Raw genomic sequence first — 24,809 nt, forward strand, 5'->3', positions numbered from 1 at the left:
AAGTTCACAACGTGAGTCTCCATACATTGCTCTGTCTGTCCACGTGAGAGCTGCAGTCTAGTCCTGCCTCTTGTCTGCCATGATTTCCTAGAATAACTTTCTACTATGGTTTTTGTTTGTTTTTGTCTTTCTACTTTTAAAAAATTTCTGAGATATACTTTTAGTTGTTTTCAGTCTTTGAGTCATGTTATCCCTTTTCATTTTCAGCTTTATAGTGTATTTTTTCTAATCCTAGGTGCTGAAAATGACACAGTAAATAAATACACATGTTCAGCTCACCATCTTGAGCCATTAGTTCTAGTAAATTCATGTTGTATTTACTCAGGATGATACCTAATACTCTATTCAACGATTCCATTATCATTAAGAATAGCACATTAGGATCTATTTTTTTAATAATACATGCTTTAGGCCTGGAGCGGTGGTTTACGCCTGTAATCCCAGCACTTTGGGAGGCCCAGTCAGGTGGATCACAAGATCAGGAGATCAAGACCATCCTGGCTAACACGGTGAAACCCCGTCTCTACTGAAAATACAAAAAAATTAGCTGGGTATGGTGGCATACGCCTGTAGTCCCAGCTACTTGGGAGGCTGAGACAGGAGAATCACTTGAACCTGGCAGGTGGAGGTTGCCGTGAGCTGAGATTGTTCCACTCCACTCTAGCCTAGATAACGAAGTGAGACTCCGTCTAAAATAATAATAATAATAATACATGCTTTAGTACACAAAGCACTTGACCCCCTTTTTTCTCTTTATTCTGGAAGTCTTACATATACAGTTTTCTTTTCTTCCTTATTTTCCAGCTAAAGAGTCAAAGTTTTCTTTCTTCCATCTTAAGTTAGTGAATTTAAACTGGGTATTTTCAGAAAGCAATGGTCATGTATACTAAGATGCTTTTAAGAGAACTGACTTTGGTTATAAAGAGATTTAATGCAAGCCTCCAGTTTAACTTGGAGGACTGAGTCACCCCTGTAATAACATGTTTGTCTGAACCACGCACAGGACATCCTTTGCCATTCAACCTCTGATTTGCACAAGGTGACTAAAGGACCAGCAGCAAACAAAAGCAAAGGTAAAATAGACTTTTTTTTCCTGTTTGTAAAAATTTTAAAAATTGTTTTTAGAAATTTGAGGAGTTAGAAAAAAGCCAATATTAATTTCTTGGAATACTCAATTTCTTTTGCAGCCTAACTTTACTTAATTTTCAAATGCATTACCTTTTGAAATATGAGTTTGTTTTTATGAACCAAGCAGCCTAAAATACACATTTGTCACTGATAGTTACGAGCTAAATTTCAGTTAACTTTTTATTTATTATAAATCTACATTTGAAAATAATTCCCACTTTAATGACTACTCAAGGCTTTCTTCATTTTTCTTGTGCACATAGTTTCTGTGATTGCATTACTAACCTTAACTTGTGATAGCATCAAAATGTATTCCATGAAGCAGGTTAGTAAATTAACTACAAACAAGCCATAGGAACACATGACTTCATGAGACAGCCACAACTTTAATATTCTTTTGAATCAATAGATGTAAAGCACTCCTCAAGCTAACTTTATAAACATAAATGTTTTCCATTAGAGTATTAGTGCGTATTTTGACAAAGATTTTACTTTTGCACCATCTTTAATGAAACATGTTTTTCATACCTAATTTTATAGTTATACTTACCATGATGGTCAATACAAGAGGACTGTTTGTTGGAATAAGTATTGCAGATTTTAGGAAGCATGCAACATTTAAAAGGGCTCAGAAAGTGGATGATTTTTGGTTGTAAAACTGGGTCGTACATTTTCTTTCCAAATATTGTTAAAGTGACTGAATATTTAGAGATAACAGTCATCTGACATTTCAAAAAAGAAAAATCTTAGTAATTGGGGAGAGGATAAATAAATAAACATATACATATATGTACATATGGATAGATTTAGATTTTCCAGAAAAGAAGGAACAAGTACCAAAACAGTATAAGGAAGGTAAATCTTAAATCATTCAACCTGTTAAAGAGAAATCTTAAAGTTGAGAAATTTAATAATGATGGGGAAAATGCTGTTTACTTTAGTGACTATGTATGTGACTGTATGTATGTATATAAAGTGAAAATTTGAAAAATTATGAGATAATAAAACTTGTTATCTCTAGATCCTGGAGTACCTGAATAACTAATGTACAGTCTCTCTCTCTCTCTCTCTCCCTCTCTCTCTCTCTTTCTCTTTCTCTCTCTCTTTGAGACAGGGTCTCTCTGTCACCCAAGCTGGAGTGCATCGGCGCGATCTTGGCTCACTGCAACTTCTGCCTCCTGGGTTCAAGTGATTCTTCTGCCTCAGCCTCCTAAGTAGCTGGGATTACAGGCACCCACCACCACGTCTGGCTAATTTTTGTATTTTTTGGTACAGACAGGGTTTCATCATATTGGCCAGGCTGGTCTTGAACTCCTGGCCTCAAGTGATTGGACCATTTTGGCCTCCCAAAGTGCTAGGATTACAGGTGTGAGCCACTGCAACTGGCCCAGGCTTTCTTTTTTAAAACAATATACATAAACAAACAAAAGAGAAACCTTTTAAGACAAAATTTTTGTTCCTTCATAGACATGCTGACTTGAATCATCTTCATAATACTTGGTTCTCTGCAGGGTATGGTGGAGCGTGCCTGTAGTCCCAGCTACTCAGGAGGCTGAGGCAGGAGAATTGCTTGAACACAGGAGGCGGAGATTGCAGTGGACCGAGATCGCATCACTGCATTCCAGCCTGAACGATGGAGCCAGACTCTCTCACAAATAACAAAAAACTTGATTCTCTATTTCACCTGTTTATACAAAACTTTCTATATTTCTATGTAGAAACATGTTTCTATATTTCTCATATGTTTTATCTTACATAGTAGCATGCAACCCTCTTACATACCAATCAGGTAGAATTAGAGTGACACTGGATTTACCTGTTTGTTTCAAAGCTTTGGGAATTCTTCCAATAAGTGTGACACATGTTAGAATCATTGTTACTTGAGATACTTATTGTACTGATAAATGCAATACAATTGTAGCAATAGCTAAGAAAGCTTAGTCACACGATTTATTTCAGCCTTGCTTGTAAATTAGAATTCAGTTTGAGGATGGAAAGAAGAGCTCTTGTTGAAATATGAATACTTAGATTTTTGTTGCTGTTGTTGAGACAGGGTCTCACTCTGTCACTCAGGATGGAGTGCAGTGGCATGATCACTGCTCACTGCAGCCTTGAACTCCTGGGCTCAGATGATCCTCCCACTTCAGCCTCCTGAGTATCTGGAACCACAGGAACGCACCACCAGCCGGCTAATTTTTTGTATTTTTTGTAAAGACAGGGTTTTGCCATGTTGCTCAAGCTGGTCTCTAACTCTTGGGCTCAAGCGGTCCTCCTCCTCGGCCTCCCAAAGTACTGGGATTACAGTCTTGAGCCACCGTGCGACTCTACTTATAATAGAATTACAGATACTGTGAATTTCTAACAAGAACAACCTGTAGTTGTTTTGTTCACAGACCGAAGTCTCTTTACCTAAGTACTAAGCATGGGCCTAATGTTCATAATAGGCCCAAATGCATGAATCCTGTGCTCTGTCTTATCATGAATATGTGAAAAATCTAAATCTCATTCTTCGAGGAGCAATATTTCTTTGATACACTATATTGGGTGGTTGAAGAACTGGCTACAATCCTAGGCTGGAGTTCCTCCTGCCTTTGTCAAGAGAATTCCAGAACGACCTTATTGCATCCTTAGTCTAACCCAAAATCTATGATTGGAACATTTCCAAATTTCCTTATTGTATTAGGAAATTCTCTCAAGATTACATCTGGAAATCAAAATCTATTGTGAAACATTTTGAAGTTATAAGGTTTGTGTAATTAGACTGCATGCAATTAGCAGTCTTGGACAAATAAACTTATTTTTAAAGAATTAAAAAATATTTGTATGAAAAAGTATTTCTTCACATTTATGGTTAATGTATGTTGCTATGAATTAATGTAGGAACGCAACTTACTTTACTAAGATCCAAGTGCAACACAGTTCTCACACCATGTGAATGGGAAACCAAAGTAGACAACAAATTATTTAATGATCTTTTAAAAAATACATGCAAATTAATGATTAGTTAAATATTACATTTGATGTTTCAACAAAGTTTTTTTAAATTATACTTTAAGTTCTGGGATACATCTGCAGAATGTGTGGGTTTGTTACGTAGCTATACATGTGTCATGGTGGTCTGCTGCACCAATCCACCTGTCATCTACATTAGGTATTTCTCCCAATGCTGTCCCTCCCCTAGCCCTCTGCCCCCTGACAGCCCGTGTGTGTGATGTTCCCCTCCCTGTGTCCATGTGTTCTCATTGTTCGACTCCCACTTACGAGTGAGAACATGCGGTGTTTGGTTTTCTCTTCCTGTGTTAGTGTGCTGAGAATGATGGTTTCTAGCTTCATTCATGTCCCCGCAAAGGACATGAACTCATTCTTTTTTATGGCTGCATAGTATTCCATGGTGTATATGTGCCACATTTTCTTGATCCAGTCTATCATTGATGGGCATTTGGGTTGTTTCCAAGTCTCTGCTGTTGTGAATAGTGCTGCAGTGAACACTTGTGGATGTGTCTTTATAGTAGAATGATTTATAATCCTTTAGGTATACACCCAGTAATGGGATTGCTGGGTCAAGTGGTATTTCTGGTTCTAGATCCTTGAGGAATTGCCACACTGTCTTCCACAGTGGTTCAACTAATTTACATTCCCACCAACAGTGTAAAAGCGTTCCTATTTCTCCACATTCTCTGAAGCATCTGTTGTTTCCTGACTTTTTAATGATTGCCATCCTAACTGGTGTGAGATGGTATCTCATTGTAGTTTTGATTTGCATTTCTCTAATGACCAGTGATGATGAGCTTTTTTTCATCTTTGTTGGCCACATAAATGTCACCTTTTGAGAAGTTTCTGATTATATCAGTTGCCCACTTTTTGATGGGGTTGTTTGTTTTTATCTTATAAATTTGTTAAGTTCCTTGTAGATTCTGGATATTAACCTTTTGTCAGATGGGTAGATTGCAAAAATTTTCTCTCATTCTGTAGGTTGCCTGTTCACTCTGATGATAGTTTCTTTTGCTGTGCAGAAGGTCTTTAGTTTAATTAGATCCCATTTGTCAATTTTGGCTTTTGTTGCCATTGCTTTTGGTGTTTCAGCCATGAAGTCTTTTCCCATGCCTATGTCCTGAATGGTAATGCCTAGGTTTTCTTCTAGGGTTTTTATGGTTTTAGGTCTTAGGTTTAAGTCTTTAATCCATCTTGAGTTATTTTTTGTATAAGGTGTAAGGAAGGGGTCTAGTTTCAGTTTTCTGCATATGGCTAGCCAGTTTTCCCAGCACCATTTATTAAATAGGGAATCCTTTTCCCCTTGCTTGTTTTTGTCAGGTTTGTCAAAAATTAGATGGTTGTACATGTGGTGTTATTTCTGAGGCCTCTGTTCTCTTCCATTGGTCTATATATTTGTTTTGGTACCAGTACCATGCTGTTTTGGTTACTGTAGCCTTATAGTATAGTTTGAAGTCAGGTAGTGTGATGCCTCCAGCTTTGTTCTTTTTGCTTAGGATTGTCTTGGCTATACAGGCTCTTTTTTGGTTCCATATGAAATTTAAAGTAGTTTTTTCTACTTCTGTGAAGAAAGTCAATAGTAACTTGATGGGAATAGCATTGAATCTATAAATTACCTTGGGCAGTATGGCCATTTTCATGATATTGATTCTTCTTTTCCACAAGCATGGAATATTTTTCCATTTGTTTGTGTCCTCCCTTATTTCCTTGACAGTGGTTTGTAGTTCTCCTTGAAGAGGTCCTTCACATCCTTTGTAAATTGGATTCCTAGGTATTTTATTCTCTTTGTAGCAATTGTGAATAGGAGTTCATTCATGATTTGGCTCTCCGTTGGTCTATCATTGGTGTATAGGAATGCTTGTGGTTTTTGCACATTGATTTTGTATCCTGAGACTTTGCTTAAGTTGCTTATCAGCTTAAGGAGATTTTGGACTGAGATGATGGGGTTTTCTATACAGTCATGTCACCTGCAAACAGAGACAATTTGACTTCCTCTCTTCCTATGTGAATGCTCTTTATTTCTTTCTCTTGCCTGATTGCCCTAGCCAGAACTTCCAATACTGTGTTGAATAGGAGTGGTAAGAGAGGGCATCCTAGTCTTGTGCTGCTTTTCAAAGGGAATGCTTCCAGCTTTTGCCCATTCAGTATGATATTGGCTGTGGGTTTGTCATAAATAGCTCTTATTGTATTGAGATACATTCCATTAATACCAGTTTATTGTTTTTAGCATGAAGAGGTGTTGAATTTTATTGAAGGCCTTTTCGGCATCTATTGAGATAATCATGTGGTTTTTGTCATTGGTTCTGTTGATGTATGGATTACGTTTATTGATTTGCATATGTTGAACCACTCTTGCATCTCAGGGATGAAGCCAACTTGATTGTGGTAGATAGGCTTTTTGATGTGCTGCTGGATTCAGTTTGCCAGTATTTTATTGAGAGTTTTTGCATCTATGTTCATCAGGGATATTGGCCTGAAATTTGTTGTTGTTGTTGTGTCTCTGGCAGGTTTTGATATCAGGATGATGCTGGCCTCATAAAATGAGTTAGGGAGGATTCCCTGTTTTTCTATGGTTTGGAATAATTTCTGAAGGAATGGTACCAGCTCCTCTTTGTACCTCTGGTAGAATTCGGATGTGAATCCTTCTGGTCCTGGGCTTTTTTTGGTTGGTAGGCTAGTAATTTCTGCCTCAATTTCAGAACTTGTTATTAGTCTATTCAGGGATTTGACTTCTTCCTGGTTTAGTCTTGGGAGGGTGTATGTTTCCAGGAATGTATCTGTTTCTTCTAGATTTCTACTTTATTTGCATAGAGGTGTTTATAGTATTTTCTGATGGTAGTTTGTATTTCTGTGGGATCAGTGGTGATACTCCCTTTATCATTTTTTATTGTGTCTATTTGATTCTTCTCTCTTTTCTTCTTTATTAGTCTGGCTAGCAGTCTATTTTGCTAACCTTTTCAAAGAACCAGCTCTTGGATTCATTGTGTTTTTGAAAGGTTTTTCATGTCTCTATTTCCTTCAGTTCTGTTCTGGTCTTAATTATTTCTTGTCTTCTTCTAGCTTTTGAATTTGTTTGTTCTTGTTTCTCTAGTTCTTTTAATTGTGATGTTAGGGTGTCGGTTTTAGATCCTTACTGTTTCTGATGTGGGCATTTAGTGCTATAAATTTCCCTCTAAACACTGCTTTCACTGTGTCCCAGAGATCTGGTACATTGTGTCTTTGTTCTCATTGGTTTCAAAGAACTTATTTATTTCTGCCTTCATTTCATTATTTACCCAGAATTCATTCAGGAGGAGGTTGTTCAGTTCCCACGTAGTTGTGTGGTTTTGAATGAGTTTCTTAATCCTGAGTTCTAATTTGATTGGACTGTGGTCTGAGAGACTGTTTCTTATGATTTATGTTCTTTTGCATTTGCTGAGGAATGTTTTACTTCCAATTATGTGGTCAATTTAAGAATAAGTGCTATGTGGTACTGAGAAGAATGTATATTCTGTTGATTTTGGGTGGAGAGTTTTGTAGATGTCTATTAGGTCTACTTGGTCCAGAGCTGAGTTTAAGTCCAGAATATCCTTGTTAATTTTCTGTCTCGTTGATCTGTCTAATATTGACAGAGGGGTGTTAAAGTATCCCACTATTATTGTGTGGGAGTCTATGTCTCTTTGTAAGTCTCTAAGAATTTGCTTTATGAATCTGGGTGCTCCTGTATTGGGTGCATATATATTTAGGACAGTTAGCTCTTCTTGTTGAATTGATCCCTTTACCATTATGTAATGGCCTTCCTTGTCTCTTTTGATCTTTGTTGGTTTAAAGTCTGTTTTATCAGAGACTAGGAATGCAACCCCTGCCTTTTTTGCTTATTCCTCCATTCCTTTATTTTGAACTTATATGTGTCTTTACACGTGTGATGGTTCTCCTGAATACAGCACACCAATGGGACTTGACTCTTCATCCAATTTGCCAGGCTGTGTTTTTTAATTGGGGAATTTAGCTTGTTTACATTTAAGGTTAATATTTTTATGTGTGAATTTGATCCTGTTATTATGATGCTAGCTGGTTATTTTGCCCACTGGTCAATGCATTTTCTTCACAGTGTTGATGGTCTTTACATTTTGGTATGTTTTTGCAGTGGCGGGTACCATTTTTCCTTTCCATACGTTTTGCTTCCTTCAGGAGCTCTTGTAAGGCAGGCCTGATGGTAACAAAATCCCTCAGCGTTTGCTTGTTTTAAAGGATTTTATTTCTCCTTCTCTTTGAAGCTTAGTTGGGCTGGATATAAAATTCTGGGTTGAAAATTCTTTTCTTAAGAATGTTGATATTGGCCCCCACTTTCTTCTGGCTTGTAGGGTTTCTGCCAAGAGATCTACTGTTAGTCTGATGGACTTCCCTTTGTGGGTAACCTGACCTTTCTCTCTGGCTGCCCTTAACATTTTTTCCTTCATTTTAACCTTGGGTAATCTGACAATTATGTGTCTTGGGGTTGCTCTTCTCGAGGAGTATCTTTGTGGTGGTTTCTGTATTTCCTGAATTTGAATGTTGGCCTGCCTTGCTTGGTTGGGGAAGTTCTCCTGGATAATATCCTGAAGTGTGTTTTCCAGCTTGGTTCCCTTCTCCCCATCACTTTCAGGTAAACCAATCAAACATAGGTTTGGTCTTTTCACATAGTCCCATATTTGTTGGAGGCTTTGTTTGTTCCTTTTCATTCTTTTTTCTCTAATCTTGTCTTCACACTTTATTTCATTCAGTTGATCTTCAATCTCTGATATCCTTTCTTCTGCTTGATTGATTTGGCTATTGATACTTGTGTATGCTTCATGAAGTTCTTGTGCTGTGTTTTTCAGCTCCATCAAGTCATTTATGTTCTTCTCTAAACTTGTTATCCTACTTAGCAGTTCCTGTAACCTTTTATCAAGGTTCTTAGGTTCCTTGCATTAGATTAGAACATGCTCTTTTAGCTCAGAGGAGTTTGTTATTACCCACCTTCTGAAGCCTACTTCTGTCAGTTCATCAGCCTTACTCTCCATCCAGTTTTGTTCCCTTGCTGGTGAGAAGTTGTTATACTTTGGAGGCATTTTGGTTTTTGTAATTTTCAGCATTTTTGCACTGGTTTTTCCTCATCTTCATGGATTTATCTACCTGTGATCTTTGATGTTGGTGACCTTTGGATGGGGTTTTTGCATGGGTGTCCTTTTTGTTGATGTTGATGTTATTGCTTTCTGTGTTTTAGTTTTCCTTCTAACAGTCAGGTCCCTCTTCTGCAGGTCTGCTGGAGTTTCCTGGAGGTCCACTCCAGACCCTGTTTGCCTGGTATCACTAGGAGGCTGCAGAACAGCAAAGATTGCTGCCTGCTCCTTCCTCTGGAAGCTTTATCCCAAAGGGCACCTGCCAGATGCCAGCCAGAGCTCTCCTGTATGTCTGCTGACCCCTGCTGGGAGCTGTCCCTGTTAGGAGGCATGGGGGTGAGGGACCCATTCGAGGAGGCAGTCTGTCCCTTAGCAGAGCTTGATCACTGTGCTGGGAGATCCACTGCTCTCTTCAGAGCCAGCAGGCAGGAACATTTAAGTCTGCTGAAGCTGTGCCCACAGCCACCCCTTCCCCTAGTTGCTCTGTCCTAGGGCAATGGGAGTTTTATCTATAAGCCCCTGACTGGGGCTGCTGCCTTTCTTTCAGTGATGCCCTGCCCAGAGAGGAGGAATCTAGAGAGGCAGTTTGGCTACAGTGGCTTTGCCGAGCTGTGGTGGATTCCACCCATTTCGAACTTCCCAGTGGCTTTGTTTACACTTTGAGGGGAAAACCGCCTACTCAAGCCTGGGTAATGGTGGACGCCCCTCCCTCACCAAGCTCGAGCATCCCAGGTTGACTTCAGATTGCTGTGCTGGCAGCAAGAATTTCAAGCCAATGGATCTTAGCTTGCTGGGCTCCGTGGAGGTGGGATCCGTTGAGTTAGACCACTTGGCTCCCTGTCTTCACCCCCTTTCCAGGGGAGTGAATGGTTCTGTCTCATTGGTGTTCCAGGTGCCACTGGGGTACAAAAAAACCTCCTGGAGCTAGCTTGGTGTCTGCTGAAATGGCTGCCAGTTTTGTGCTTGAAACCCAGGACCCTGATAGTGTAGGCACCTGAGGGAATCTCCTGGTCTGCAGGTTGCGAAGACCATGGGAAAAGCATAGCAGCTGGGCTGGATAGCACTGTCTCTCACCACACAGTCCCTCATGGCTTCCCTTGGGTAGGGGAGGGAATTCTCCAACCCCTTGTGCTTCCTAAGTGAGGTGATGCCCCACCCTGCTTCTGCTTGCCCTCCATGGGTTGAACCCACTGTCTAACCAGTCCCAATGAGATGAGCCAGGTACTTCAGTTGGAAATGCAGAAATCACCCTCATTCTGCATTGATCTCACTGGGAGCTGCAGACCAGAGCTGTTGCTATTGGGCCATCTTGCCAGCTGCCTTTCTTTGTTTCTTTCTTTGTTTGTTTCTTTCTTTCTTTCTTTCTTTCTTTCTTTCTTTCTTTCTTTCTTTCTTTCTTTCTTTCTTTCAATAGAAACAAAACATAATTCAGTTGGTCACATAACATGTACTATTTGTTATTTAAACCTGGTAATGATCAGGCTGATTGGCACAATTCAGTTGCAACATCAAGAACATCATCATTTATCCAGAAGGTGTACTTGAAGTGGAAAACTAGGCTCTTAAATGGAGATATGGAATGTCTATGTAGATCAAGTGTGGTGGCTCACTCCTGTAATCCCAGCACTTTGGGAGGCTGAGGCAAGTGGATCACTTGAGCTCAGGAGTTCGAGACCAGCCTGGGCAACATGGTAAAACCCTGTCTCTGCCAAAATATAAAAATTAACTTTGGCATGGTGGCACACACTTGTAGTCCCAGCTACTCAGGAGGCTGAGGTGGGAGAATTGCTTGAGCCCAGGAGGTCGAGGTTGTAGTGAGCTGATATTGTGCCACTACACTTCAGCCTATCTCTATCTCAAAAACAAACAAACAAAAGAAATGTATGTGTAGCAACCATGTAAGATGTAAACCAAAAAGTGAAGAAAATTATATACAGACATAATCCAACCAGCTCTTTATAAGCCAAAATCTACTCAGATTGCTTAATTTGATGGGCTTGAAATCTCATAGTCAAGTTTAACGAAGATTGACAGAGATATTTTAGGTAGAAAACATTAGGTGCAATGCCAAAAGGCGTTACAAACTCAGGCATGACTTAATCAAATATGTGGTAGTCAGCACATAGTGGACATAAGACGTCCATTGAGCCATATGGTAGGATTGCTGTCTAGGTTAGAAGATCTGTCTTATGTGAAAATGTCAAACAGAGAAAGGCAAGAGTGCAGAGAGGAATGGGGAAAGGGTAGTGTGCAAGATCCTCTCCCATATTTATAAATTAGAATTTAAGTTCTAGTTCATAAATATAATTTTCAAAAGTTGAGACTTTAGTTGATAAGAACAGAATAGACATCAATACTATGTTTAGATATACAACATGCCATTACTATTATCATTGCACTCCTCTGCCCCTAAAGACAGTATTGTGATATTCTGGGAAGGCAAGTTAAAACAATAGAAATAAAAATTGAATAGGAAAAATAATGAAACTTCTTCTAGTGTGCTGTTTATGGTAACTGGCTCCAGAGTGTAAGATTTTAACCTGCACTCTTACTGACTTCTGTTATATTGCACTGAGGTATTTTGTGTTGTAAACACACCAGGGTAGTTGGACGTAATTCAAAGAAAGCAATCAGATTTGAGAAGGATTTAGAAAAGTGTGGGGAAGAATAAAAAGAAATAAAAACAATGCCATAGACATTGAAGAATAAAAAATAAGGTCAGAAGTTAGTCTTCATCAAAAAGGTATGGGTGATGAAATAAAATGGAATTGAAGAAAATCCAAGGAAAAAAGTTATCTGATGCTGAAGAAGTTAACAAGCAATCTAGCTTCCTGAGTTATTTAAAATTAGGCTGAATAAATCACCAAAACTAATATATAGTCAAAGATAAAAAAGAAAGAACAATCATTTTTTCATATCCAATTTCTCCACATACTTTTATCTGTTGTAACTAGAGTTTTGCCTTGTTTACAATCAGAGAAGGCCTATTACTGTAAAGTATATTTTTCCACTAGTATTAAATAATTCACCGGTATTGTGCATTACATTTTGTGGAGAATAATAATACTAATCAGTTTCTTCAAGCTTATCATCAGTGTTCCTACCGAACACCTCCTAAACCATTAACCACTGTTAATTTTCTTTTACCATAGATAGTAACCAATCAATAATTAGCTTTTAATAATCAAATGTCAGAATAGAGCCTTAACTTAAAGCTCTGGCTGATAGTGTTCATTTCCATTAAAAAAAATCATTCTTATTTCCTGAAAAGGGATGTTCTTGTCAGATTGCAGATGAGCATACAATTTCTCAAATAAAATTATAAAAATGATCTTCATAACAAAATGCAAGTGAGATGTAACTTTCTTTAGGAAAACTTGATTCCTTATACTGTAGTCAGAATCGATTTGCATCTTCTCTTATATATCCAAAGAACTTTGAGTTTTTAAAATCAGATTGATGGTTTTGAGTTAGCTGTTACAGCAACATATTACAAAATTCCAACAGAACTTCCTTCTCAAATAAATCTCACCCATGCTCACTTCTCTCACTTAGCCACCCTGTTCTCTTCCCTGGAAGCAAGCAATATAACCTTTTTTGAGTATCCCTCCTGATATGGTTTGGCTCTGTATCCCCACCCAAATCTCATCTCAAATTATCATCCCATATGTTGTGGGAGGGACCTGTAATCCCCATGTGTGGAGGGAGGGAAGTGATCAGATTATGCAAGCAGTTTCCCCCATGCTGTTCTCCTGATAATGCATGAGTTCTCACAAGATCTGATGGTTTTATAAGTGTTTGGAAGTTCCTCCTTCATAACACTTCTCTTTCCTGCCACCTTGTGAAGAAGGCACTTAATTTCCCTTTGCCTTCTGCCATGATTGTAAGTTTCCTGAGGCTTCCCCTGCCATAGGGAACTGTGAGTAAATTAAACCTCTTTCCTTTATAAATTACCCAGTCTCAGGTATTTCCTTATAGCAGTGTGAGAACAGACTAATATAGCTCCAGAGATATTCCTCAGTACACAAATTATTATACTGTGTACATATGTAATTTGTGTGTGTATGTGTATGTGTGTGTGTATATATATGTATGCATATATTCCTTTCTTTGAAAAATGGCAACAATCTATACACACTTTATTAAAATTTGTAGCTTGTGTACAGACACACATGTAAAACAAATACATATTTTAAAGACTATTTTAATATCTGGTCAATGTCCTTATCAATATGTAGAAGAAACCTCATTCTTTGTTATAGGTGCATAGCATTCCACTGTATACGAGGCCATGTCTTATGTGGCCTTTGCCTTATAGTAGACATTTATTTTGTTGTCCTAATTATAAGAATTAGGAAGACATTAATTTTGTCTTCCTAATTATAAGAAGTGCTACAATGAATTACATAGAAGCAGAATTTCTTGGTGAAAGGTTTTATTCATTGATAATTCAGATAGAAATTTCCAGTCTTCTGTTTCCACTAGGAATGTACTCTTTCTTCATTCAGGTTGGAGTCAACCCCTGCACATTTCACCTTGCTCAAATTTCTTATCCTGCTAAAATATATATGCTTGTACAGAGAGATAGATGATAGGTTGCCATTTGTAAAGCCAGGGGAACCCTAGTTTTTAAGCCACTCCATTCAGGACTGAGGCAAAATTTGAAATTAAGCCATGTTTACCAGAGACAAGACAATGTGATCTGGCTACAGCTTTTGACCTCTCAAATGTTTGCCTTTCCTCTCCACTCTTGTACTCTTAACATTGAGAGCTAGGATCTAGGGAACTGGGATCCAACTCTCTCCTGCTTAAATATTGTTCTGGTCCTCAGGCCTGAGGTTGGGGACTCAGCTCCCCATCTCTAGTTTCTGTCTGATAACCCCAACTAGTATCCCAACACTCCTAATCAATGGCTTGGGTCATTTTTATGGGGAGGGAAGTATTTTAAGTTGTAATCTTGACTATGGACATTGGAAAGACTTAAATAACATTTCGCAGACCACTGGATGGCTTTTTAGTTCAACAACTTTAATTAAAAACCTGAAGACATAAATCAACTTAATGTTATCTTAAGGAACTTAGTTAAAAACAGGTTGACAGAGGGAACATTCTATTAAAAATGTGATCCTAAGACTTAGTGTGCTTTTCCAAGAAATCTGTTGATCTTGGCTGTAAGAAATTTCAAGTCCTAAAAGAGGAGTAATACTTAGACAAAGACCAAGTGTATACTTTAATACAGAGATAATTTAAACCTCTTTCAGATTGTATTTCTTAAAACTGCAAAATTTGCTTGCTTCATTAAAAACGAGGCCTTTCAGACTGAATAATATAGTGAATTTACCATTAGCAAAAGTGACACTGAAATAGTCATTTTCACATATTTACAAAACTTAAGCCTATATTTAAGAAGACTGGAAAGGAAACAATTTTATACAATCAAGATAGTATAGGAGTTCTAAAATTAGTTCAGATGGAGGGACACTGTGTTCTTTGATAATAACATAAAATAGTTATCATAAAATTCAGTATCTAATGATGAATTATGGGCCTTAATGAAATACTGTTATAGAGTAGATTATATTATAAACCCATAGGCAACAAGTTTTTAAGAAAAATGTATGAAAAATACTTAATTGAGAAACCTCTAACATTAAAATATTTTGCTTTTTCTGCTGGAATACTAAAGAGCCAGCTTGCAGAGCATTGATGTTTCAAAAGAGAAAAAGTTCATCAGAGAAAAAAATAGATGCCTATTATTGGCTGTTGCTCTAATAAGCTTTTATTAGAAAATAGGTTGGCAATTAGTTCTGCGAAATTGAGCACATAGCTTTGAACTTGATGGTTCTGCTCTGTCTCTCAGTCTGATAAATATATATGAGTATATATATTTTTCATCATTGGCAACAAAATATCACTTTGGTCAGTACTTTCCTTAAGGGCTTGGAAATAAAACAGTGCATTTATTAAATTCCTTAGGGACCATGACCTTCAGGATATCTCTTCAAACTCTCACGGTTTTAGGAGCAGACACTTGGCATCTTAAAGGTTTTTAAAACAGAACCCCAATATCATGAAAAAAGAAATAGAAGACATGTAGATTTGGAAAATCAACTCGTTTCACTAATACCTGAATATTAAGAAGGGAGTATATGCTTTGAAAAACTTTTCCAGAGCATTCACTCTAATCGTAAAGATCAGTGTGGATCACCATGCTGTGTAAAGTTAAAAAACATCGCACTGGGTGTTTGAGAACAGGCACTTAGAGTTGCAATCAAAATGAAAACAAATTAGTGCAATTAATTTATTGATTTATAATATCCTTTTCCTTTGTGGTGATTATTTAAAATATTATGGTCTCATAAATAACTGGTTTGAACTGCTCTCATTTCTGTCTTAGATTATTGCAAGAGCTTTTTATAGTCTTCCTGCTTCTCTCTTGTGTCTTTTCCCTTAAAGGCTTGCCTCAACACAGCAGCCAGAGGAATCCAGTTAAGCCCATGGCAGACAATGTCATTCTTCTTTCAAAGCCCACCACATCTTTCCCATCTCATTTACAGTGAAAGCCTGAGTACCTATAAGCCCCAACAAGACCCTCACTCTTTCTTCTCTGGCTCCTTTTACCTAGTCACTGACCTCTTCAAAGGTCTTTAGAGACAGCAGACATGCTCTGCCACAGGGCCTTTGCACCTGCTTTCCCTCATACTTCCCCAGACATCCTCCAGGCTGACTCCTCTTATCCTTGGGATCAGTGAGGCTTGTTACCATCTAGGAACAAATCCTGCCTTATTTATTTTTCTTTGTTATCATAATTTGCAACATACTGAATATTTATTTACTGTTCTTATTTATTATCTCCCTCCCCTACAAGAATTTAAACTCAGTGAGGGCAGAGGCTCTTGTTTGTTTTGCTCACTATTGTATTGTTAATACTTAGAAGGGAGCCTGGTACATAGAAGATGCTCAATAAACATTTTCTGAATTCTTATAAGAATGAACACTAAGTGCCTCTGCCTTCATCATACAATGTCAGTGTTCCAAAGACCACCAGGAGCACACCTGCAGTTAAATTAGTTTACTTTATCAGTTATTGTGGGAAGGGAGGGTGCACACCATGGGAAGCCATGGGGTGTCTCAGTAAGAGGGTATTAGGAGGAAACTATCATATGATTTAGGTTTTGGCTGAGTGACTTGGTGAAGAGTCTAAGAAGGCAGGGATTTTCTCTAGATTAGATGTTGTCAGAAAGCAGAGGCGTTCCTGTGATTGGGTAAAGAATAGCAGTCATTCATTCAGCAAGAGAGAGGGATGTTTGGTATTTTGTGGGTTGCACAGTGACCTTCTTTTCTGATCTTAGACAATATTTAAAAGTGGCCTGGCTTTGTCTCATTTTATTATGGTCTGAGAGTAAACTTGTCCAGACTGGTATTCTGTGACATTGTTTAAGAGAAGCATTATGCAGCCTAGCTGTGAGTGTAGTACTCACAGTTTCTGAATGCCAAGGGTTGCTCTTTTTTTTCTTTTAATTTATCACAAGCAAGTAAGCTTCTTTGGGGAAGGAGTGAGAAGGGAGATAGGAATAAGTAGGGGATAGGAGATAGAGGCTTTTTTGCAGACTCTTGTAGCTGTACATGGTGGTCCTGTCTCCCTCAAAAGAACATCCCTCCTGCCACCTTCTTCACTGTCTCCTTCACTGTCAGGAGGAAGGGGCAGTGATGAGGTGAGGTGCTTGAGCCGACCTGAAATAGGCCCTGTCTGTTTGCTGCTTTTGCCACATTTGTCTCTGGTCAGGGTAAGAAGATTAGAACTATGAAACCAAGGTCAACATAGTAGCAGCTAAACCTTCCTCACTTCCTTCTACTAGAGGAGGGGTCAGGAGAAAGCTACTTCCCTTTACCTATGGCTTTAATGAGTATGTCATTTCATTGAAAATCATTTGTTCAGGGGCCTTTAAAATGTCTTCACAGAAGTTTCCTTGTTGAAGGAAAGGAACTAGTCCTTCCTATATATTCCCAGAACAGACCTTACTTCTAAGGAGAGAAACCTGGGCATTAAAATTTAAGGGACAAGTCCAGGTTAAATTCCTCATTCACTTCTACCTCCAATATCTTGCTAACTCTTTCTAAACATTGTCATTTAGAGGTTTGTTTACAGGAGCACATTTGCCTAGGCGGATTATGGAAGGGGGAAGGGAGAAAGAAAAGGAAGGTTGCTATTGCTGGTGATATGGTTAACTGTGGATAATTGCACAGGTTGCTATGCTACAAGAACTAGTCAAGATAAGGCAGAGCTCAGCGGTGGGGATTTTAATGGCATAGGTGGGGTGAGGGAAAGAGGTCTAGGGAAGCTCTGAAGCAAAGGGCACTTTTGGAAGGGCAGGCTTGGGGAGGTTCCTTGGTGAAGGAAGGACAAGAGAAACAGAGATTGCATGGTGGGACAGGGAAGGGAAAACAGTGTCTGAGAGGGGTCACGTGAGGGGATCTCCTCCCAACAAGCCATATTTAACTAGGAGGGCACACCAGTGCCCTGACCTGGCTGTATAGGAAGCAGAAACCTGACATACAGCAAGCAGAAGACACGGGCACAGGATTTTACTTATTTATTTTGTCTTTTTTGGTCGTGCACCCACACATTTTATCAGGAGCTATGTCTACCATCTGCCATGTAAGGTGCACCTCCAGTTCACCAGAACAAACAGTTCACCAGTTCTCTTTCAACTACAGTGTCTTCCCTGAGACACTGAGAACAATAATAACATTCCAAGATAGGAGAAGAGAATCACTTGGTAACTTTGTAATAAATGAACCAGGATGTTCTATGGTGGTGATGAGGGAGCCGACCAAAGGGGAAACAATAGTCAGTGGAAAACTATGTTTTGAATGAGACCAAAGCAGGAAGTATCTGGCAGGGTAGATTTTTCTTTTTTTGGTACACAAATATAGTCTTTTCTAATGTAACTCAATTTTAAATTTAAAGAAAAGCTTCTTCCCCCTTCTATTAATGAATGCATATGTAAATCTATTTTTCTTACCTGGAGGCAAAATATAATAAAAAATCAAAGAGAAGGGGAAGTTTTGAGTACCACAATTTTTCTTACTCATAAAATTAGATTCCCTTGAAAATACTATTCTCTTCAAATCATAATTTAGAGCTACAGTATGATATATTTCATGCTACTAAGTGGGGTAATCTTATTCAGCTTTGTGCATGGAGGAGTATATTCAATAAATGAAAATATCTACCTCTATAGCTCCTAAATACTGGTGTTTTGTGTTTATCCATTTACTTAGGCCTTCTTAAATGTCTTTGGAGGAAGTTTTGTGAATTACTTAAAATTTTTTTACAGCAGTGTCCAAGGCCTGAGAAATACCATGAGGTTTGGCTGGTGACACCTGGTGGTTAGACGTGATAATTACACACAACATGTAGCACAGGCTTTACTACAAGCCACAAAAGCACCTTGTATTGGTCCATTCTCACACTGCTAATGAAAACATTCCTGAGACTGGGTAATTTATAAAGAAAAAGAGAGTTAATGGACTCACAGATCCACATGGTTGGGGACCCCTCACAATCATGGCAGAAGGTGAAGGAGGAGCAAAATCACATCTTACATGGTGGCTGGCAAGAGAGCATGCTCAGGGGAACCACCCTTTATAAAACCATCAGATGGCATGAGACTTATTCATTATCACAAGAACAGCATGGGAAATCTCGCCCTTGTGATACAATTACCTGCCACCACGTCCCTCCTATGACAGGGAGAATAGGGGAGCTACAATTCAAGATGAGATTTGGCTGGAGACACAGCCAAACCATATCACTTCTCTATAAATCAGAGTTCCTGGTTGTAAGCAACCAAAACAAACCTTGCTTACTTGAGCAGAAAGGCGGTGTCCCTTGAGGACAATATCTCCACTTAACAGTAACATTATGGGCATCAGGTTCAGAATCTGGATGCCCCAGCTTGCTGCTCCTTGACACTGGAATTTACGTCACCACTGGCAATGTCACCTCAGCCTCCTTGAATCTCAATATCCAAATTCAAAGCCTAGATTAGGATGCATCTAATTGGACTGACGACAGTCATAGACCAATACCAAACCTGCAAGGAAGGCTGGGACATTTTGGCTTATTTAATGAAATATGGGCTTTGCCTTCCAAGATACTTATGGTGCAGAATTGACTACTGAGGAAAGGGGTCTGTATCCGGAGCACACAGCCAAAGGACAAATGTCTACTGGACACCTTAATCTCACTAGGCATCAGGCATAACCACAATGCATTTTCATCTTAATGACACACAAGACTGCAAACGTTTTATGCCATCAAACCCTTTGATGAGCTTTTACAAAAATAATTTCATAGTAGTTTTACAAAGAGATGACTAAAAAATAACTTGACAAAGTAGCCACTATCGTCTTCCCTCTTCTACTATCCAAACACCTACCTATCTTCTCTTTCTCTCTCTTTTTTTTTTTTTTTTTTTTGAGACTGAGTCTCGCTCTGTTGCCAGGCTGGAGGGCAGTGGTGTGATCTTGGTTCACTGCAACCGCCACCTCCCAGGTTGAAGCGATTCTCCTGCCTCAGCCTCCTCAGTAGCTGGGACTACAGGCATGTGCCACCACGCCAAGCTAATTTTTGTATTTTTGGTAGAGATGGGGTTTCCCCATGTTGGCCAGGATGGTCTTGATCTCTTGACCTTGTGACCATCTCGGCCTCACCAAAGTGCTGGGATTATAGGCGTGAGCCACCCTGCCTGGCTCTATCTTCTCTTTTAACTCCAGTGTCTTCCCTGAGACATTCTGTTACACCAGGGGTTTGGTCTAGGTCCTGTTGCTTGCTGCAGAGAAAGCCAATCACTGAGTCAAGGAGTATTGCTGGGGAAGAAGGCCTTATTTGGGTGCTGCAGCCAAGGAGAATAAAGGATCAGTCTGGAATCCATCTCCCCAAGCAACTAAAATTTGGGGTCTATAAAGTAGGGAAGAAAAGTAACTATGTGTGGGAAAACAGGAATTAAGGAAGGGTAAGAAAGAGGACTTGGTCAACAGGCAAGTGGTCAGTTAGGCAATCATGATGAGTGAGGCATCTGGTGTCTCATTGTTTAGATGTGATAATCTGGTAAGTTTCAGTTCCTTGAAACATTCTGGGAGGCTTGATGGTTGGTTTACCGAGAAAGGAACCCAGATAAGACAAATATAACTTTCTTAAGTTTTACCCTGGGAGGGTCAATTTCTAAGTTTATTCAGAAGAAACCCAAAACATCTATTCTTTGGGATAGTTGGGCTGGTTTTAATTTCTTGCCACTCAAATCACTTTCCTTTCCATTCCTACCTACTGCTTACTCCAAGAAGTAATTGCTCCAATAAATTATCATGTAGTACTTGTTATGCATTTTTATTATTTAAATTTTACATCACCTTGCCTTCCATATAAAGTGACATCAGGCAAGCCTTTTCATCTCTCTAAGCCTCAGTTTCCCCATTTGTAAAATGGAAATGTAATTATAAGCCTTATGTAGTTATTACAAGTTTAAAAAAAATATTTACAAAGCAGTTAAGCACAATGCCTGGGATTTGATGAGTTTTGCAAAATGATGGTAAATATTATTTCACATCTTTATCTGATCATGAACTCCTTAAAGGCAAGGACTACATCTTATTCATTTTGTTTTCTGGACATGGGGTCTGGTGCTCCATGAATGTTTGTTGAATTGCATTTCCTGCCCCTGAATAGAAGCTAGGTCTCTACATATGCTTCTATATCTCAATTTATTTATAGGCCTCTTTGAGACCTTTAAGTGATACACTTTACAAATAGTCATATATAATAATAATATCTATTTATTATTTGAGTCTTTTTCCTCAAAACTATGACTAACAGAAAATTAAATCTCTCCACAGGTCTTCTAGAGTGCACTAAAGCAGAAGATAACGTAACATTTTTATCTTACCATGAAAGTATTATCTGAAGGACAGTTAAAGCTTTGTGTTGTTCAACCAGTACATCTCACTTCATGGCTCCTTATATTTTTTATTCTAAAGTCTATCTCTTGTCTAAAACCTGCTCGACTTCCAATTTATCAAAGGAAACCTTTTATAGCTGCTTGGAATGCTCCAACAGATCAGTGTTTGATAAAATATAATTTAAGACTAAATTTGAAAATGTTTCCTGTGATTGGAAGCCCACTGGCCAAGGCCAGGGGGCAAAATGTCACTATATTTTATGTCAACAGATTGGGATACTATCCGTGGTATACATCACAAGGGGTCCCCATTAATGGAGGTCTCCCACAGAACATAAGTTTACAAGTACATCTGGAAAAAGCTGACCAAGATATTAATTATTACATCCCTGCTGAAGATTTCAGTGGACTTGCTGTTATAGATTGGGAATATTGGCGACCACAGTGGGCCCGGAACTGGAACTCAAAAGATGTTTACAGACAGAAGTCAAGAAAGCTTATTTCCGATATGGGAAAGAATGTATCAGCTACCGATATTGAATATTTAGCCAAAGTGACCTTTGAAGAAAGTGCAAAAGCTTTCATGAAGGAAACCATCAAATTGGGAATTAAGAGCCGACCCAAAGGCCTTTGGGGTTATTATTTATATCCTGATTGCCACAATTATAACGTTTATGCCCCAAACTACTCTGGGTCATGCCCAGAAGACGAAGTCTTGAGGAACAATGAGCTCTCTTGGCTCTGGAACAGCAGTGCTGCTTTATATCCTTCTATCGGTGTCTGGAAATCCCTTGGAGACAGTGAAAACATTTTGCGCTTCTCCAAATTTCGGGTGCATGAATCCATGAGGATCTCCACCATGACATCTCATGATTATGCTCTGCCTGTATTTGTCTACACAAGGCTAGGGTACAGAGATGAACCTTTATTTTTCCTTTCTAAGGTAAGAAGCTTCTTGTCCAATGGTGGGGGATTTCCTCCTTATCTCTAAAAGGACATTTCTTTGTTAATTATGTTCTTTGAAGAATTGATTTCAATTAATGGTTTGTTATATGGGAGCATAATTCTTCCTTGACTAGTCATGCATTTAGACTCTTCATTTATGGAAACTGAATTTTGATTATCTTACTCATTATTATTCTCTTAAGGAACAAAGTAAGGTGAGAAAGGGTTAAAGTAGATACCAGCAACGACTACATTTCCTGCACACCAACTTTAACTGTACTCACTTACAATCGGGCATTTTGGAAGGTTATTGAAATGATCGGCAGTGAGCAGGTTAGACAATCAAAAAGGATGTTTTGAAATGGAGTGTTTGCTCATACATGTGGAAGCAGAATTGTCTAGCCACTTAAACAAAAAAATTCTAGGGAAAGTAGTGGGTATTTTAATCTTTGTTTTGTTTTTTTTTTTTCTTCAAGATGGAGTTTTTTGTTCTTGTCACCTAGGCTGGAGTGTAATGATGCAATCTCGGCTCACTGCACCCCCCACCTCCTGGGTTCAAGCGATTCTCCTGCCTCAGCCTCCCAAGTAGCTGGGTTTACAGGTGCTCACCCCCCCCCACCCAGCTAATTTTTGTACTTTTAGTAAAGACGGGGTTTCACCATGTTGGACAGGCTGGCCTTGAACTCCTGACCTCAGGTGATCCACCCTCCTCGGCCTCCCAAAGTGCTGAGATTACAGGCATGAGCCACCGTGCCCAGCCTAATCTTTGGATTTGGATAATTTTGTGTAACCTTTCTACATTGAGAAGACTCAGGACTTGTGGAGGGCTTCACATGTGTGATGCAGTGATGTTTTAAGGTATTGCTGGATACCAGTGGTTTAATATATTTTAACAGAGGCATTTTTCCTTTCTCCACCATTACAAATTTCAACTCACCAATATCTGTTAAAGACGTTCTGAGTTCTAGGCATCCTAAGGAGGAGGCATAGAAAACACCCAGGTGAGGGCTCTACAGTGACCAGGTATCTTTGGAACATAAATGGAATGTATTCATCAGAGGGAGAAATGATGCATGTGTATGAAATATGGTAAATACCATACCTCCAACATCACTCATGAGGTGAAGGAGGAAGGAAAAAAAGTCTCTGTTGTGAACTTCTATTCATACCACCCAGAAAAATCAGTGAAAAATAATTGAATGAAGAATAATAGGAAGTCAGTACCGTCTGAAAGGTTTTAAAAAGTTATCTAGGCCGGGTGCAGTGGCTCACACCTGTAATCCCAGCTCTTTGGGAGGTTGAGGCAGGTGGATCACAAGGTCAGGAGTTTAAGACCAGCCTGACCAAGATAGTGAAACCTCATCTCTACTAAAAATACAAAAATTAGCTAGGTGTGGTGGTGGGTACCTGTAATCCCAGCTACTCAGGAGTCTGAGAAGAGAATTGCTTGAACTCGGGAGGCAGAGGTTGCAGTGAGCCGAGATTGTGCCACTGCACTCCAGCCTGGGCGACAGAGCGAAACTCCATCTCAAAAAAAAAAAAAAAGAAAGAAAGTTACGTAAATCTTTATAAAATAATCTTGACTCTGGAATGGAATCAAAATTTAAATACCAGTTTCTTTTGTAAGACGTCTTTTCTATATTTGACTCAACCAAGTTCCTTTCTTTAGTGATAATAAATTGACTTTTGGAAGAAACAATAAACTCTGAGGGACAAAACGTTCATTTCAAAAGATGAATTTAGACTACTGGGACATTCTGCACATTCTGTGAACCTGGTATAAGCTTCTTTTTCTATAGCTACAGCCACGGAAATGCTTTCTTTCCTCAGGAAAAAAGGAGCAACAGTTTGGGTTTCATCTCATTCTGCACTCTTTTTTTCCGAGTGGCAAGCTATTTCCAAGTGTTTTAAACTATAAGTGTACCCACCATTGTACCCTATTGACTTTAAAAATCTGCCCATGATTTTTTTTTTTTTTTTTAGATGGAGTTTCCCTCTGTCTCCCAGGCTGGAGTGCAGTGGCGCGATTTCGGCTCACTGTGACCTCTGCCTCCCGGGTTCAAGTGATTCTCCTGCCTCAGCCTCCAAGTAGCTGAGGTTACACTGCATGCGCCGCCATGCCCAGCTAATTTTTGTGTTTTTAGTAGAGACGGGGTTTTGCCGTGTTGGCCAGGCTGGTTTCGAACTCCTGACCTCAAGAGATCCACCCGCCTTGGCCTCCCAAAGCGCTGGGATTTTAGGTGTGAGCCACTGCGCCCGGCCCCGCCCATAATTTTTTAAAAGCCTGATATTCATTTGTACCAAACTCTTAATGACCATTAATGGCTTCCATTTCTGATTTTCCCAACAATGTCTGAATTTTAGAATGCACACACACATACAGTTAAGATTACAAAAAAGATTCACTAGTAAGTAGCAAATCTCTTAACCTCCCTGGACTTAGTGTCTTAGTGTCTTCATGTACAAAATGGGACAATATTACCTGCCCCACTGACCTAGCAAAAGTATGATGTAAATCAAATGAGAACATGCATATGAAAACTTGAAGCTCTACAGAAACCTATGTGATATGGCTATTACTTTTTTAACAGCCATCAAAGCCTTAAACTTAAACATGGGATATTTAAGAGTGGTATCTCAGGCAATAGCTATAGCGTGGGGATAT

The 24,809-nt window shown here is 39.0% G+C and overlaps 1 protein-coding gene across 5 annotated transcripts in view; it reads left to right on the forward strand.

Moving 5' to 3' along the window:
- The window catches only part of HYAL4 (hyaluronidase 4), a 113,774-nt gene that overhangs the window by 83,378 nt on the left and 5,587 nt on the right, over positions 1-24,809 (forward strand). For 3 of the 5 annotated variants that reach the window (XM_047420093.1, NM_012269.3, XM_011515990.2), the window contains 2 exons: positions 1,004-1,073; positions 21,138-22,142. In XM_047420093.1, the coding sequence (XP_047276049.1) occupies positions 21,189-22,142 (954 nt within the window). In that variant the 5' untranslated portion in view covers positions 1,004-1,073; positions 21,138-21,188. Of the gene's footprint in view, positions 1-648; positions 1,074-21,137; positions 22,143-24,809 lie in introns of those variants that run through there. The other 2 variants (XM_047420094.1, XM_024446703.1) reach the window with 1 other exon arrangement.

Source organism: Homo sapiens, chromosome 7 (assembly GCF_000001405.40).
Source record: "Homo sapiens chromosome 7, GRCh38.p14 Primary Assembly".
Classification (NCBI taxonomy): domain Eukaryota; kingdom Metazoa; phylum Chordata; class Mammalia; order Primates; family Hominidae; genus Homo; species Homo sapiens.